Below are 17,548 nucleotides of genomic sequence, written 5' to 3' on the forward strand. Positions count from 1 at the left end.
TTTTTAAAGGGTCTACAGCCATAAGGAATTTATAGCTTGTTTATGTTTAAGTAACACTGTGTTTATATTACATTCAAGTAACACTGTGGTAGAAATAATTTGTCAACACTGGGTGCCATATCGGTTTTTTCTTGAAAAGGGGCCCACTCATTAATTTGCAGAGATGCTGTGCCAGGTCTGTGGAAGAAATAGGTGTGAATAAGTCTAGCACCCACATTCGCACTGTAATCAATTATGAATTCCAGTTTGCATGTGGACTTTTGTAAATGTTTCTTTGTGACTAGGGATACAGGGTTGTGGCAAAAGTTCCTGTTTCATAATTCACCTTTCTTCATCACCAAACTGTAGAAAAATAGGGTTTAAAGAAATCAGCTACAGCAGCCTGCTTTCAACACCCTGAGTGAGGCAAGGCCATGTTAGACCCTACCAAAGATCACTCCTCACACCTGGGGCACACAAGGAAAGGAGCGAGGGACTGACAGGAACATCCGTCAGCTTCTGCAAGGTCTCAAAAAGATCATCACCCACAGAGGCAGATGTCTCAAGGAAAGACTGTCCTTTGAATCGGTGAGTTCACTGCTCAGACTTCAACCTGTTTACTCTGCCATTTTTGGTCAATTCACATATATATATATATATATATATATATATATATATATATATATATATTTATTTATTTATTTTTTGAGAAAGAATCTCACTCTGTCACCCAGGCTGGAGTGCAGTGGCACAATCTTGGCTCACTGCAACTTCTGCTTCTTGGGTTCAAGCGATTCTCCTGCCTCAGCCTCCTGAATAGCTGGGACTACAGGCGCACGCCACCACGCCTGGCTAATTTTTGTATTTTTAGTAGAGATGGGGTTTCGCCGTGTTGGCCAGGCTGATCTTGAAATCCTGACCTCAAGTGATCCTCCCATCTTGGCCTCCCAAAGTGCTGGGATTACAGGCATGAACCATCATGCCTGGCCCAATTCATCATTTGAAACAACTTGTTTTTTTTTGGTGCCAGTATTGCACTTTCAAATTTTCTTCAGGGTCATGGAAGGTTGCTAGCAGGCTGTGGTCTGTGAACTCACAGAAACTATAAACCATCCGTGAAGAAGGAATGGGTCCATCTGAAGAGTGCCAAAGGGAAAAGTAAGACAAAGACATGGAGCAGCCTCAAGGGGATGAAATGGATGAAGGGGAGGAAGAAGAGAAGAAAGCCAGATCTCAGCCCCAAAGTAAGGCTTCTTGGCATGGAAGTATAGAGTTTCTAAATAGATGACACAAATTCATCTAAATGAACAGAATATGGCTATACAAATGTTTAATGTATCTGTGAAAATTACACTTGTTGAAAACTAATTATTCACATTCAAAACCAGTATTTCAAGGCTTGTGGCTAAACTAATATCTGTAAAAGGCATGGCTTATGTGTTATATTCTGTTTGTGCTTTTCCGTTTCACTTTTATCTGTTCTGCAGACGAAGGCAATGGTGCAAAAAGGAGTTTACCAGAAATGAGTATTGAGTAACAGTCTGATCTTAAAATACTTTTGCAACTTGTTATGCAAAAATCACAGTTGCAGAAAAATTGGTTTCCATAAAGAGCTATTAAGTGGATCAACTAGATTATCTCTAGATCAGATTTTTTAAAAACCCATTCTCCTTCACAGAAAACTTTTGTTCTATTTGTATACGTTAGAGCAACCAGTACATATCAAACTTCAGGCCTCTTACAAGTAAGCAAATATATCAAAGAAAAGTTTTTACTTAATTGAAATTTGGGTTAAAGTAAAGATGCAATAGTGTCAATTCAGGAATTATAGGCAGGACCACAATTTAACAAATACCAAAATAATACGATTTTTCGCCACATGTTTTCTACCCCTATTGGCGTATCAAGCTTGGAAAAAGAAATGATCTTAGTAAACAACAAGAAATTTGCTTTTCTGTGAGAGTTATCTGTTGCATTCTTTTCTTTTTTTAGTATTTTTTCTAAGCTTACCTTAAGTTCATATTGCCCTTTTGTGCAGATAACAAGATGAAAAAAATCATTTACTTTGGAAAGTCATTATTTTCAGTTTTGTTGTTGTTGTTGTTGTTGTTGTTGTTGTTGTTGTTGTTTTGAGACAGGGTCTCATTCCATTGTCCAGGCTGGAGTGCACTTGTGCAATAATGGCTCACTGCAGCCTCGAATTACTGGGCTTGGGTGATTCTCCCAACACAGCCTCCCGAGTAGCTGGGACTACAGACACCAACCACCACACCTGGCTAATTTCTTTGTATTTTTTTGTAGAGATGGGGTTTTGCCATGTTGCCCAAGCTCATTTTGAACTTCTGGGCTCAAGCACTCTGCCCACCTCTGCCTCCTAAAGTGCTGGGATTACAGGCGAGAGCCACTGCGCCCGGCCTCTTCTGTGGTCTCTAACATTGTTCTTGAATTATTAATGGTGAAGAACCTGGATTTTTGTGTTGCACACTAGTATTTGAGTCTGAAGTCTTCTGCTTGTTGTTTCCTGGACAGTGGACAGGAGGCTATAGGGTTCAGTCTATTCCTCTCTTAAATAGGGTTGAGTTGTGCACATTTCACAAATTTGTGATGAGAAATTAAATAATATACGACGATGTGAATATGGTGCTTAGCACATTGTAACCAAACAATAGTATTGGTTATCTTTAATATTGGTATCAGCATTATTAGGTTTATATTTTTTAATGATCTCATGTTTGCTAAAAATTGTACATTTAAAACAAGCTTCAAGGGATAAAAACTGTGTTGTCTTGTATGTGAGTAATGATGACTTGTTTGCAGTACTGAAACCTTTGCAGATTTCATCACATATCTAGAAGTAATTTAAGATATGCTTATTACATACTGAAATATTTAAAACTTTAACTTATTATATATTGAAATATTTAAAACTTTAACAATTAACTTGATTTTACTTTGTAAATTTACATTTATGGGATAAAGAAAATGTGGTATATAAACACAATGGAATACTATTCCGCCATAAAAGAATGAAATCATGTCATTTGCAGCAAAATGGATGGAACTGAAGGTTATTATTTTAAGTAAAATAAGCCAGACATAGGCAAATTTCACATGTTCTTACTCATGGGAGGTAGAGAGTGGAATGATAGATAGATACCAGATGCTGGGAAGGTTGTGTGAGTGGAAAGGGGGATGAAGAGAGTCTGGTCAAAGGGTACAAATTACGGTTGGATAAAAGAAGTAAGTTCTAATGTTTATAACAGTTCTATTGTTCCATTGTTGCTAACTATAGCTAGCAACAATGTATTGTTTATTTCAAATTAGCTAAACTAGGGAACTTGAAATGTTTCCAACATATGGAAATGATTAATAACTCAAGGTGAGGGATACCCCAAATACCTGGACTTGATCCTTACACATTCTATGCATGCAACAAAATATCATATGTACCCCACAAATATGTAAAATATTATGTACCAATTCAAAACACTAAAAGATTTCTCATTTATATGTTTCCATCAATTTATTTCTACATTTTATGTAGAAAAGCTATATGCAAAAAGATTTGCCTGTGAATCTGGGAATATATTTCTAGTCTGCGTGTACTGGAGAACAATTTATATGGCATACAGTCTGGTTTCTCCATAAAGCTAATAAGTGGATTGAAATAATGATATGATAATATCACTAGGGAACATTTCTGTCAGGATTGTAGTTATAAAATTTTCAGAGATGGGATTTGGAGACTATGCTCTAGCTACTAATTAAGAAGACTGTATTAGTTAAAGTCCCAAAGGGAAATGGATAGCATATTCAAATTAGGATAATTCAAGCAGAGGTTTTAAATAAGGGGTCTATTATAAAGATATGGACAGGGTGGAGGGGAGCTGTAATGGAACCTTTGACTGAGAATCACAAGTATGGAAAAGTATCTGAAACCAGGAAGGGAGAGAGAGACGTGTAGAGAAGACCACCTTAGAGGAATTGGGGCCTTTTGTTGAGGGGCATACACGAACTTCTATTTGGAATACATTTCCTGACCTCATTCCCTGCCCCTGTCCTCCTGCCAGTTTTCCTATTTGCAGGAAAGCTATGGGGCACAGGCAGCTGTCAGAATAATCCATTCAGATCAGACTCCCAAGTCAGAGAACGGGTGGGAGGGAGGTGGAAAGTGGATTGGAGGGGCAAAAGGAGATCTCTGACACATGCTGATACTATACAAATCTAGAATTTATTTTCTCTCATTATTATGTTCACTTATGGTAACAGGTGTTTACAAATCAGAGTAGTAGCTTTATAAACATGCATTAGACAAGATCCTTATAGGCATTAAATTTTAAGCTACTTTTTAAATAATGGGGAAAAGACCCTAGCTTAAAATCTATGCTCTGTAAGAAAAAAACATATTTTCTAACCATTAATATATGAGAGCTAGACAGATATTCCTAGGTCTTGTTATGTCTAGGTGCCTCCCTCTAAAAGGCTGTATCAGGGCCTTCAACTCAGTGCTTACTACAGTCATTCATTAACTCATCTTTCAACAAATATTTATTGAGTGTCTCTAATGTTCTAGGTATTGTGCTAGGCTCTAGGTAAAAAGGAGTAAGTGAAACAGGCATGATCCTTGCCTTCTTGAAACTTATGATTTAGTAGGTGAGTTGAATGATGTAGACAAAGCTTTAACTAGTTTTGTAAGTCTGCAATCACAGAGCTAATAAAGAGCAACAGAACCACATGATCACTGAGTGTCCAAATACAATATTTAAACATGAAAATTAGAGAGTTCACAGAGCAGCCATTGAGGTACAAAAAAGCCACAGACTTTTAAGCAGCATATTTTCTCTCTCCTGAAAGAAAGATCTTAAACTTAAATTTAAAGCCGGCCAGTTCTGGAAAAGCTTATTCAAATATTATTTGTAAGATGAGGCAGAGGTGGCTACCAGAATCTAGAAAGTGCTGTCCAATATAGAAGCCAAATATTAATAACTGTCTACAATAATGGAAATATTATATTCTGCACTGTCCAAAATAGTAGACACTAGTTATCGTGGCTGTTAAGTACTTAAAATGTTGCTAATGTGGCTGAGGAACTGAATTTTTAAATTTTATTTAATTTTAATTAATTTAGATTTAATTAGCCATATGTGGCTATGGTAAAGTACAGTGTAAATCTAGAACAAGGTGTACTGGCTGAGACTTGCTGAGCACAAGCTGCTTCATTTAACCTCATTTCCTTTTTGACAGGGTTAATAACGGTCATTAATTTACTCACACACTATCATGTGTCCTGCAGGGTATGAAATAGAAATCAAAGATAGTCTAAGGGGAATAAGTGTTGGCAAGGAGGTGGAGACACTGGAACCCTTGGGCATTGCAGGTATAAATGTAAAATGTCTTGGCTGTTGTGAAAAATGGTAATGATAATTCTACACAAAATTAAACATAGAATTACCATATGACCCAGCAAATTCATTTCTGGGTATATACCCCCCAAAAATGAAAGCAGGGACTCAAAGAGATATTTGTACACTCATGTTCATAGCAGCATTAGTCACAATAGCCAAAGGGTGGAAGCAACGCAAGTGTCCATTGACAGGTGAATGGATAAACAAAATCTGGTATATACATACAATGAGTTATTACTCAGCCTTAAAAAGGAAGGAAATACTGACACATGCTACATACAGCATGGATAAACACTAAAGTCATAATGCCAAGTGAAATAAGCTGGTCACTGAAGGACAAATATTGTATGATTCCACTTATATGAGATACTTAGAGCAGTCAAATTCATTGAGGCAGAAAGTAAAATGGTGGAATCTAGCAATTTCACTACTGGGTATATATCCAAAGGAAATGAAATTAGTGTGATGAGATTTTTGCATGTCCCTGTTCATTGCAGCACTTTACAATAGCCAAGATATAGAATCAACATAAGTGTTCAACAGTGGATGAATGGATAAAGAAAATGTGATATATATACACAACGAGGTACTTTCAGCCTTACAGAAGAAGGAAATCTTGTCATTGTGACAACATGAATGAACCTGGAGGACATTATGTTAAGTGAAATAAGCCAGGCACAGAAAAACAAATACCACATGATGACACTTATATGTGGAATCTAAAAACACTGAACTCATAGAAGTAGAAGTAGAACTGTGGTTATCAAGGACTGAGTTAGAGAGATGTTAGTAAAGAAAAAAAAGTAGAATGGTGGTTGCTAAGGGTGAGAGGGAGGAGAGACCAGGGAGTTAGTGTTTAATGGGTGCAAAGTTTTAGTTGGGAAGATAAAAATGTTCAGGATGGTGGTGATGGTTACACCACAATGTGAACGTACCTGTATTTAATGCCACTGTACACTTTAACATAGTTACAATGGTAAATTCTATATTGTAAATATTTTATCACAACCATATAAGAAGTTTAAACACATTCTTTATCTGCAAAGAGTTCTCGAACTAGCATGAAAAAGAGAAATGGTAGTTGCTGGTTACTACATGGTACAGGGATACGCAATGACTATTTGACTGAGGGCCATGAAGGAGTTGCACCTCAGAAGGGTGGCTGTGCTAGAGGACCTTCCAACCCTGGGATTCAATGGGTTTAGAGCTCTGTAAATTAGGAACGGCACTAGCGTGCAGGATGATGGCCACGGCTGACAGATCGCCATGCAACTGCCACGCCCCGCACCCAGTGCCTGCTCTGTTTTATCTGAGCTTCACCCTAAGGTCCTTATCGGTCATCATCTCTGAAAAACTCCAGACTGGAAGGGAGAGCCAAGGTCTCCAGAGAAATTTATAAAACAAGAATAATCTGGGGTTTCAGCTGGGTGTGAGCAGATCAATTGCGGAAGATAATTCAGATTGGCCATACTCTAAACCCTGTCATTATGTGCCACCATGCCCGGCTAATTTTGTATTTTTAGTAGAGACGGGGTTTCTCCATGTTGGTCAGGCTGGTCTTGAACTGCCAACCTCAAGTGACTCGCCCGCCTCGGCCTCCCAAAGTGCTGGGATTACAGGCCTGAGCCACGGCGTCCAGCTCTTGCTTTTAATTTCATTGATAAAATATGTTCTTGCCTCCACATTTACCAGCATCTCTGCCATACTTTCTGAATAGCTGGGACAACAGGCATGCACCACCGCACCCGGCTAATTCTTTGATTTTTAGTAAAGACAAGATCTCCCTATGTTGCCCAGGCTGGTCTCTAACTCCCGGGCTCAAGTGATCCTCCTACCCTGTCCTCCCAAAGTGCTGGGTTTACAGGCTACCACACAGCTGAGATTATCATTTGAATCCATGAGGAAGACTGCCTGAAAAAGTAAATTGTGGATGGGGAGGGAAGGGGAAGATTGCTGGGGATTAAGTGTGGCATTTTGGACACATTCAGTTTGGAGTTGTTCTCTCCTGTTACCAGGGATGAACTCTTTCTTCTGTTTTACCCTAAATTTCCATGTGTGCATTGGATTGCACACCTGCTCATCTACTCAAGAACATTGCTCCAGCATGTAACCCATTTTTTCTCCCCCATATCATCCCTCTTTCCATTCCTTTTGGTTCATGCTGGTGAGCAAACAAACATGTATAGCTTCTAATTAAAAAAAAAAAAAACTGCTTTGACTATATGGTTCCTTCCTGTTTCTACTCCATTTCTTTGTCTTCATCTGATGTTTTTATTCTTTCACTCCAAACAGGCTTTGGTCATCCCCCACTAAAACTCTTCTTACCAAGCTCACCACTGACCTCCATGTGGCCAAGCCCATTCCTCAGTTTTCCGTCCTAATTTTACACACTGTAGCAGCATTTCACAGTTAATTGTTCTTTTTTACAAAAATTTTTTTAATTTGGCTCCTGAAACGTGCTCTCTCTTGGTTTATCTATCTCACTAATCAGAACTTCTCATTCTCTTTTTTTGATTCTTTATCTTCCTAACCTCTGAACTTTGGAGCATGCCAGGACTCAGACTTCAGACATCCCCATTCTGTCTGCACACCATCTATATGCTAAAGAACTCCAAATATATACCACCATCCCAGACTCACCTAACCAACTGCCTTCATGACAACTTGACAACTCCAAACTGAAGGTGTCCAAAATGCCACTCTTAATCCCCAGCAATCTTCACCTTTCCTCCCCATCCACAATTTACTTTTTCAGGCAGTCTTCTCCATGGATTCAAAGGTTAATCTCAGCTGAGCATGGTAACTGATGCCTGTTAACCCAGCACTTTGGGAGGCCAAGGTGGGAGGATCACTTGAGCAGGGGAGGTCGAGGCTGCAGGGAACCATGATCATGCCACTGCACTGCAGCTTGGGCAACAGAGTGAGCTGCTGTCTCAAAAAAATTAAAAATGTCATCAGCAAGCACCCTCACAGACACACCCAGGATAATGTTTTACCAAATATCTGGGCACCCCATGGTCCAATAAATTTGACACATCAAATTAACCATCACAGCTTTCTAACTCGTTGGCCTGTTTTAATCTTTGTCCTTTAATCTGTCCTCAACAAAACGGTAGATTAAAAAAACAACCAGCAACATCATTTAGCTTCTCTGATAAACATTCTTCAGTCTTCCTGTCTCAATCAATGTAAAATGTAAAGACTATCATGACTACCAATGCCCTACATGCTCTACTCCCCACTCCTAGCCCCACCACCATCACTCTTCCTGGACTCTGTTTTGCCCACGCTGATATTTCTCCCAGAAGCCCAGCATGCTCCTGCCTCGGGGCCTTTACATCCACTGATTCCTAGGCTTGAAATGATCTTAATCCCAATAGCTGCATTGTTTCCTCCCTCAATGATTCTCTTATCTTAGATGGCTTTGCAATATACCCATTTTTAAAAATATAACATACCTCATCCCTCTTATTTTACTTTCTTTTAAAATAAACTGTATTTTTTAGAACCGTTTTAGATTTACAGAACAACTGCAAAGGTAGTACAGAATTTCCATAAATTCCATTTCAGATTTCCCTATGATTACCATCTTACATTACATTCCTCACAACTAATTAATCAACCTTGATTCTTATTACTAATGAAAGTCCATGCTTTATTTAGATTTCCTTAGTTTTTCCCCAAGTCCTTTTTCTGTCCCAGGATCCCATCCAGGATACCACATTACATTTAGTTTTCACGTCTCCTGAGTTTCTTCTAGGCTGCGGCAGTTTTTCAGACTTTCCTTATTTTATTTTATTTTTTGTAGAGACAGCATCTGGCTATGTCGGCCAGATCAGGCCTCGAACTCCTGGCCTCAAGCAATCCTCTCGCTTCAGCCTCTCAAAGTGTACGGATTACAGGCGTGAGCCACGTCTGGACTGTACTTTCCTTACTTTTGATAACCTGACAACTTTGAGGAATATTGGTCAGGTATTTTGTAGGATGTTCCACTACTGGAATTTGTTTGATATTTTTCTCATTATGAGACTGAGGTTATGGTTTTCCAGGAGGGAGACCACACATGTAATATGCCACATTCATCACATCATATTGACTACATGCCATCAATGAGTCACGATTGTTGACGTTGGCTTAGAACATCTGGCTGGGGTAGTGTCTGTCGGCTTTCTCCATTGTAAACCTACTGTTTTTCCCTTTCCACATTGTACTATTTTGGAGGAAGTCACTGTGCACAGCCTAGGGTACATGATCTACATAAATTATTTGGAATTATTCTGTATAGGAGATTTGTCTCCTCTCCGCCTTTTATTTATTTATTCAATTATTTATTTATATCAGTGTAGACTCATGGATTTTTTTACTTTGGCTTGTAATCCAATACTACCTTGTTTAGTTTACTTCGTTGCTCAAATGGTTCCATCTTTGGCAACTGGGAGCTTTCAGGTGGTTCCTGTGTCTAAACATTCTGCCATCAAGGCAGGATTCGTTCTTTAGTTTTATTTTTTTTCTTCTCATTCAATTGAGACAGCGTCTCATTCTGTCGCCCAGGCTGGAGTACAGTGGCGCGATCTCGGCTCACTGCATCCTTGACCTCTCAGCCTCAAGTGATCCTCCCACCTTAGCCTCCCGAGCAGCTGGGATCACAGCGTGCGCCACCACGCCCAGTTAATTTTTTTATTTTTTGTAGAGATAGGCTTTCACCACATCGCTCAGGCTGGTCTCAAACTCCTGGGCTCAAGAGATCCTCCCCCTTCGGCCTCCCAAAGTGTTAGGAATACGCGCGTGAGCCACCGCGCCCGGCCCGATTTTTCCTTTTTTGAGTATCACTTCCTTACTTTTCAGCCTCAGCCTTGTTTTTCAAGGTGCTTTACCACCACCTGGCACAATCCACACTTTCTATTTATCCCTCCCCGTTAAAGTGCCGGGACCTGGAGGGTGGGTCTTGGCAGTATTTTTGAGCGCGGTGGGCACACAAGGGGACGCTCAGTTGATATCCAGAGAATGATGAGCCCGGCGGGTGTTGAGGCCGACTGGAGAGAGGTTGGTCGGCAGGGTTCTGGGAAGGCGGTGCTCGGCCTCCGTGTGACCGCAGGCTCCTCGCCCGCGTCCTCGAGGGTCCCAGGGATGCAGGACCTGCCGCAGCTTCCGCAGCCACACCCACGCTCAGAGACGGCTTCCAGCGTCCTCGCCGCGGCAACGCACCGGACTGCAAATGTCACCAGCGCAGCGGGGATTCCCGGGGGAAGTCCAGCGCGCTCCCTGCCCTGGGGACCAGAGGACGAGCGGAGGAAGTGTCTTGGGCGGCAAACATCCCACTCCCCGCGCCGGTCCGCGCAGCCCGCGGGAACGCCCCTGGGCTTGCGGGAGGGGCTGGAGCGCGTCCCCGGCTCCGGGCGGTCCCGAGCGCATGGACTCTGGGTGGGGCGGGAACCCGCGCTCTGTGAGCCGGCTGCCGCCGCGCCCCAGCGCTGTCATCCCGGGGCGGGGCCTGGTCCCCAGCTGTGGTCGCTTCCTAAGCGGCGGGGGCTGAGCCGGCGGCGCCCAGATGCGGCCGCGGCGGCGCGGAGCTCGGGCGGCCGTGGAGGAACTCAGCCTCGGCCGCAGGAGGCGCCGGGAGCGGAGCCGCCGGGAGTCGCGCAACAGGTTTCCTTCTCCATCGCTGCGCCCACAGGGGACGCGCGCCCTGCCGGGAGAGGGGCTTCTCGGTTCGCACTCTCGCTCCCAGTCCAGGTTTGTTTTTCTCTTCCTGAGCCCCCATTTCTCTTCCTGACTATTTTCCCCGTGCGCGGAGAGATCGGGGAGGGCGGGTCGGGGCGGGGGCACTGTCTAGGCTCGGGACCCGCGGCTGTGCCTTAGGTGGGATTTTGGATCTGGCGCAGGTCCTCACGCCGCCTCTGGGCACCTTCGGAAACACAGCATTGGGTTTCTCATATAAAGCAGAATGATTTTTTAAAATTACTTTTAATTTCAGAGGCTGAGGGACTTAGGATTTAGTGCTTCGTAAGAATTATTTTAGGGATACCTGTTGGTAGGCTGCCTTTATAAAGTGTCCACCCAAGACTACTTTTATTTTAAATCGAAAGGCTGGAGTGTTTTTTTATTATCACCTCTTCACTTCCTAGTAGGGTGACTGTGTCAAAAACACCAGAATGGGTACTTCTTGACTTGAACTTGGCGGTGTCACTCAGTAGCCAGGAAAGACGGAGAAATTGATAGAGCCTTCGAGGAGTCCCTTCGAAGCCCACGTAAGACTTTGTTTTAGAAACATGGAGAGAAGTAGTGGCAATGCCTGCGAGAGCCACGCCGTCCTGAGAGGGAATTCTGCCTTTTTCTAGACTCCGCTGACACCAGCTGAGATCTGTATTACTTCCTGTGGTTCTCACGCACTTGTTTCAGCCGTTTCTCAGCAGAGGGAGGAGCTGTTATTTACAGGTATCCAAAAATGAGTCACAGGGCTGCTCTCTTAATTGTGAGACTTTGTTAATGAACTTTTGAAAAGCGAGGCTTGCTTTAAAATGAGACTCTAGATGTGAAATGCCTGCCCTGCCAACCTGGGGCAGTGGTATGGGAAGTGACGATTGAGTTTTCAGTTTCCTAAGGCGCCTGATGTTACAACATGCCAGTAAAGGTCACTGGGCTGATCTAAGATAACCATTGAAATCATGTGCTTTGCCACAGATGCCCAAGAGAAAATTAATTTCATTATTCAATGACCATTTTGCTGTCATTTTCACTGCATGGGAGAAAGGTATCATTTAATGTGGTGATTGTAAGTAACTCTCTAAAATCAAAATATTTCAGACAGTTTGTGTTTACTAAATTGGTGCTAAAACCACATGATGATTTTTGAAGCGGGTGGGTCCCAGCGGGAGCAGAGAAATTTAAAAGTTGAAGCTGACAAGTCCTATTGCGGTGGGTAACAGCCCTTAGGAAGGGACTGCACACTATCTCAACACGGTAGAGAAGGGGACACCATCTCTACTGGAGCTGAGTTGAGCTGAATTCAGCCTCAAACAACAGTTACCAGGTACCTTCTCTGTGCCAGCCTCTTCCCTGAACCTTGCTTGTACAACCATGAATAATAGGATCCTGCCGGCAAGGTACTAGGGTAAATCTATACCCAGAGTGAAGTTTCTGTGCCAATATAACTCAATATGCTGGGTCCCAGTGTATTTAAAGAGTAGACTCAGCAGATTATCACCCCTAGATAATTGCGGTCACGATTAGTTGATAGTGTGACTTTTAAGAAATAGTGTGACTAATTAATAGTTTATTTAAATATGCTGGAAAATTCAATATAATGAGATAGGTGCTAGGGTAAATCTATACCCAGAGAAAAGTTTCTGTCCCAATATGACTGATGTTTCTGAAGATCTGGGATTTGGAATGGACTGGGTCATGGCTGGAAGAGCAAGGAAACTTTTGAGTTTAGTCATTTACTTGTCTTTGTAGGCAGCCTATTCTTCATTTGATACATGATTTAAAAATGTATGAATTTGAAAGGTATGGTTTTTAAAGTGCTTGAATGAACCATGTTTCATGTTATTTAATAACCATGTAAAACGAAATTCAGCTGATTATCACCCCTGGACAATTGCAGTCACCTTTAGTTAACAGCATGACTTTTAGGAAATGGTGTGACTAATTAATAGGTTGTTTTGTTTTGTTTTGTTTTTTGAGACAGAGTCTCACTCTGTTGCCCCAGGCTGGAGTGTGGTGGTGCAATCTTGGCTCACTGCAACCTCCACCTCCTGCGTTTAAGCAATTCTTGTGCTTCAGCGTCCCAAGTAGCTGGGACTACAGACACCCACCACAACACCCGGCTAATTTTTGTATTTTTAGTAGGGACAAGGTTCGGCCCTGTTGGCCAGGCTGGTCTCGAACTGCTGACCTCAGGTGATCTGCTTGCCTTGGCCTCCCAAAGTGCTGGGATTGCAGATGTGAGCCACCATGCCCTGCCTAATAGTTTATACATTGGTAACACTATATTGAAGCGAGTTTATGATCATTGTTTTTGTAGTTCAAATCAATGTTTTTTATCACATTATAGCCGTGTGAGCCAAAATGAATAAATCTACCGTATCACAGTTTACTGTTGCAATTGAAATCTGCTGAGATGCTTTTGAACTGGATGCCCAAGTATCAAGGTTTCCAAGTTTCCCCAGTTTGCTAAGATATCCAACTGGTAAAGGCAACAATGCTAAATTTCAGACAACTTTACCTTAATTTCCAAACTTTATTCCTCCTTTGAGAGCCCTAAAGTTACTTTTTCTATGAGAAAGAAAGGGTCGAGTTTGTCATTCAGCATTGTACTCCCTGAACTTGGCCCAGGCTTGTCTCATGATAAGTGTTAGAAAGTGTTTATTGATGGAATAATGAACCTTCACGTAGGAGGATGAATTGTCAGGCAAGTGGAATTGTCTGCTGTAGGTGACCCAGCAGAAGGAACAGCACCCATAGAGAAGTGAAACAGCACTGGACGTTCAGGAAACTCCAGCCTGTTTAGTGACGGCACAGAGGGAGGCCTACGGAGACAGGAAGGGCCAGATCACAAAGGCCCCATGAGGGTTTAATAGTACTGAAGCCTTTGAACAAGTGAATGATATTGTCAGGTATGTGTTTAAAAAATAATAACAAAACTTGGAATTTTAAAAATCTTAGATTAGATGAGAGTGACATTGACCCTAGGAAGACACCGTGGAAACTGTTGTCATATTGCAGATGGGACATTGAAGAAGGCCTGAATCGGGCAGTGACAATGCAGATGGGAAAAGAGGGAAGGGGCTGGTAGAGGTTTAATAGGTGGAACCCTGTCGGGTGTGTGTAATGAGGAGGTAGGAGCAGTTGAGATGACTCCCATGTTTCTAATGAATGACTAGGATAAGAATATCCTACTCGGTGGAAGAATAGGTTTGGGCTAAAGGGTGGTGAGGAGCTCACACAGTACTTGGCACATAATCAGTGCTCATTAAGATTTTTCAAATGAATGCTAGTAATAGCTAAAATTTATTGAGTGCTTATTAAGGGCCATGTACTATCCTAGACTCACTATGTGCGTTAAGCCTTTTACTCGTCAGTACAATCCTGTGAGATAGGTACTCAAATTAACTGCTTTGACTGGTGAAGAAAGTGCAGTGTTAGTAACTGACAGAGCCAGAAATGGATCCCAAGCACTTGGTTCCAGAGCTTGCATTCTGAAGCACCCTGCTGTGATGTGCTGTCTTGATGAATGAATCAATGAGGTTTTGGACTTTGTGGTAAGCTCAGGTTGAAGTCACTCTCCTGCCCCTAACAATTCTTCCTTATCCAAGAATGGCCTTGATGCATAAGATGGGCCTTCAGTGTCCCTACTGTGCTACATGACATCCCACCCCCTACCTTCACTCCAAGAAATACCTGATTCATCTAGGAAGAAACCTGGAATAATCAGACATTTTTATCCTGGGAATTGAAACATCTTAATGGAGACTCACAGTGTCTGAAGGTTCCAAGTGCTTCAATCATTGTGTCTACAGAGCTGCCTTGGTTACCACCCCTCCTAAACACTGAATGCTCAACTTTTCATATTTCTCAGATGCACTCAATGTTTTGTTGCTAAGATTTTCCATAGGGAAGCAGAAAGGCTAGCAAGGGAGGCATTAATCTACAGAGCAGGGTCAAATGGTGGAAGAACCACTAACAAATGCAGACAGGTACATAACAACTCCAGATATTACATTCCTGACTTGTGATCTGCCTTTTGAATCCTATTTTGTTCTAGTTTTACCCTGAAGCAGGCGCCTTACCTGCCTCTAACTTCCAGAATTTTATTAAGTGAGTCTGGTCCTGCTGTGTCTCCTGTCCTCTTGATTTTAACTTGGCAAAATGATTCAAGTATCTTGCATTCAGAACTTGCTTTCCATTTGGGGCACCTGGGTAGATTCTTTTGTCTGAACAGCAGTATTTTGACCAACAACCCTGTCCACCCGCCCCCACCGCCTCCAAAAAAATGATCCCAACTCTTAACTGTTCTCATTGTTGATAATTCAACCTACCCTGACTTGGATTAATATCCTGATTTTTGTTCAGCAATCAGGGACTAAGAATTGATCTAGGAAGAAACTGGAATAATCAGACCTTTTCTCCTGGGAATTTACATTTTAATGGAGACTGTCTGAAGATTCCCAGAGCTTCAACCATTATGTCCACAAAGCTGCCTTGGTTATCTTTTCCTCAAAGACCTCGACTTTGGACCATGTAAGGTTTAAAACGCCCAATTAATGTTGTACCCAAACTGAATCAGCAAACTCACTTATTGAAGCTTTAAAATGTTCAAATGTCCACTTTGGGAGGCTGAGGCAGGAGGATTGCTTGAGCCTGGGGGCAGCGGCAGGGGCGGGGGAGAATGTTCAAATGTCTAAAGCTTGAAGTTTTAAAATAGTTTCTCCACACATGCATTGAATGTTTTGTTCAGCATTTCTTCAGATTCATTGGGAAATCAACATATTTATAGTTGCCCATGAAATGAGAGTGACATGAAGCCTCGCAGGGTAATAGAGCCCACATGTCTACCCCTTGGCCTGAGCTTTTATGTGCCTGCCTATAATTCATTCAGTGCTCAGATCACAAGAAAGGGAAGGGTTTTGGCTAATATTTCATATCGGTTTGTCTTGGCTGTTCAATTCAACTGTGGTTTCCCTGAGAGAAGAGAATAGCTAGAGTTGGGGGCTCTGTTAAGCCACCTCTAAGGCTCCTCCCCGTCCTAATAACCATTCTGTGTCTTTTACTAATAATGAAACCATCTGTCAGAGTAAGTCATTTCTTGGCCACTCCTTCTGAGTTTATGGATACCAGACATTATCTGTGTATTTCATTCAACTTCTTTGTAAGGCTCAGTAATTGGGTAATTTTTAGAATGATGTAGAGTTGTAGAATTGGTAATTTTCAGTTGCCCTTCTTGAGCTAATTAAATGTGTTTTAAAATTTAATCTTTCTTTCTTTCTTTCTTTCTTTCTTTCTTTCTTTCTTTCTTTCTTTCTTTCTTTCTTTCTTTCTTTCTTTCTCTCTTTCTCTCCTTCCTTCCTTCCTTCCTTCCTTCCCCTCCCCTCCCCTCCCCTCCCCTCCCCACTCCTCAGGATTTTCCCTTTTATTGCACAGGCGGGAGTGCAATGGTGTGATCTCCGCTCACCACAACCTCCACCTCCCGGGTTCAAGCAATTCTCCTGCCTCAGTCTCCCAAGCAGCTGGAATTACAGGGATGCACCATCACACGTGGCTAATTTTGCATTTTTAGTAGAGATGGGATTTCTCCATGTTGGTCAGGCTGGTCTCCAACTCCCTACCTCAGGCGATCAGCCCACCTCGGCCTCCCTGAGTGCTGGGATTATAGGCGTGAGCCACTGCACCTGGCCTCATTTCCTTCTTTTCAGTGGATAGGACATCACAATAATCCAGAAAATACTAAGTCATCTAGAAAAGTATTTCCCATTTTGTATACTTGTTTTACTTGTTTCCCTGTTCAAAGTTGCAAAGAGATATTCCATTACTCCTTGCATAACTTATTGTGTAATAAGGTCAATTTCAGCTTTTCAGAATAGTGAAATAGCTCTGTTTTTATCTTCCTATGGAAACAGTAAGCAAGTAGTTCTGTCTTCGGTTTCAGTTTCAGGATTGCAGCAATCTCTTTTCACGGTTATATTTCTAATTTTCTATTATGTTCTTTGTTATGTTGATTAGTGACCCAAATCTGTTGATTTGAGATAAGTAGGACATAGTGTATTAGCTAAATTCTGTAATAATACAACATTTCCCACCTCCTCCTCCCCTCTTCCTTGACTACTGCATGGTAAACCAACATATAATGATATTCAGCTGATAATATTATTTAGCTGTTTATTGTTTATGAAGTACTGTCATATATATTATTTCTGTTAATTCTCATAACAGCCAGAAAGAATGGAAAAATAAGGATTCATTGTTGCTGTTGCCATTATCCACATTTTATAGATAAGGTGGGAAACACCTGGAGAGATTAAGTGACCACCCAAGATTGCCCAAGAAGTTAAATGCAGAGGCCTGCTACATGATGCTGTCAGGACTTGACTGAAAGGCGCAAGTTCAGTGTCTCAGGTCAAGTTGCCAGGAAACAGACCCTGAGACTCTGAGATTTCCATACAGGAGGT

The 17,548-nt window shown here is 41.8% G+C and overlaps 1 protein-coding gene across 10 annotated transcripts in view, besides 1 other annotated feature; it reads left to right on the forward strand.

Moving 5' to 3' along the window:
• The first annotated feature begins 376 nt into the window (after positions 1 to 376).
• The window catches only part of STX11 (syntaxin 11), a 51,977-nt gene continuing 34,805 nt past the window's right edge, over positions 377 to 17,548 (forward strand). For 2 of the 10 annotated variants that reach the window (XM_047419439.1, XM_011536218.3), the window contains exon 1: positions 377 to 567. Coding sequence is in view for 2 of the 10 variants with exons in the window: in XM_047419436.1 (XP_047275392.1) it covers positions 1,151 to 1,223 (73 nt within the window). In the remaining 8 variants the exon portion in view is untranslated. Of the gene's footprint in view, positions 568 to 1,009; positions 1,224 to 10,930; positions 11,118 to 11,509; positions 11,820 to 17,548 lie in introns of those variants that run through there. The other 8 variants (XM_011536214.3, NM_003764.4, XM_047419437.1 and 5 more) reach the window with 7 other exon arrangements.
• Positions 10,618 to 11,057: a silencer, noted in NCBI's record as "silent region_17638". NCBI's record gives its function as "represses an Ori minimal core promoter by ATAC-STARR-seq in GM12878 lymphoblastoid cells {active_cell/tissue: GM12878}" and the evidence as "EXISTENCE:reporter gene assay evidence [ECO:0000049][PMID:35858748]".

This window comes from Homo sapiens, chromosome 6 (assembly GCF_000001405.40).
Source record: "Homo sapiens chromosome 6, GRCh38.p14 Primary Assembly".
Lineage (NCBI taxonomy): Eukaryota > Metazoa > Chordata > Mammalia > Primates > Hominidae > Homo > Homo sapiens.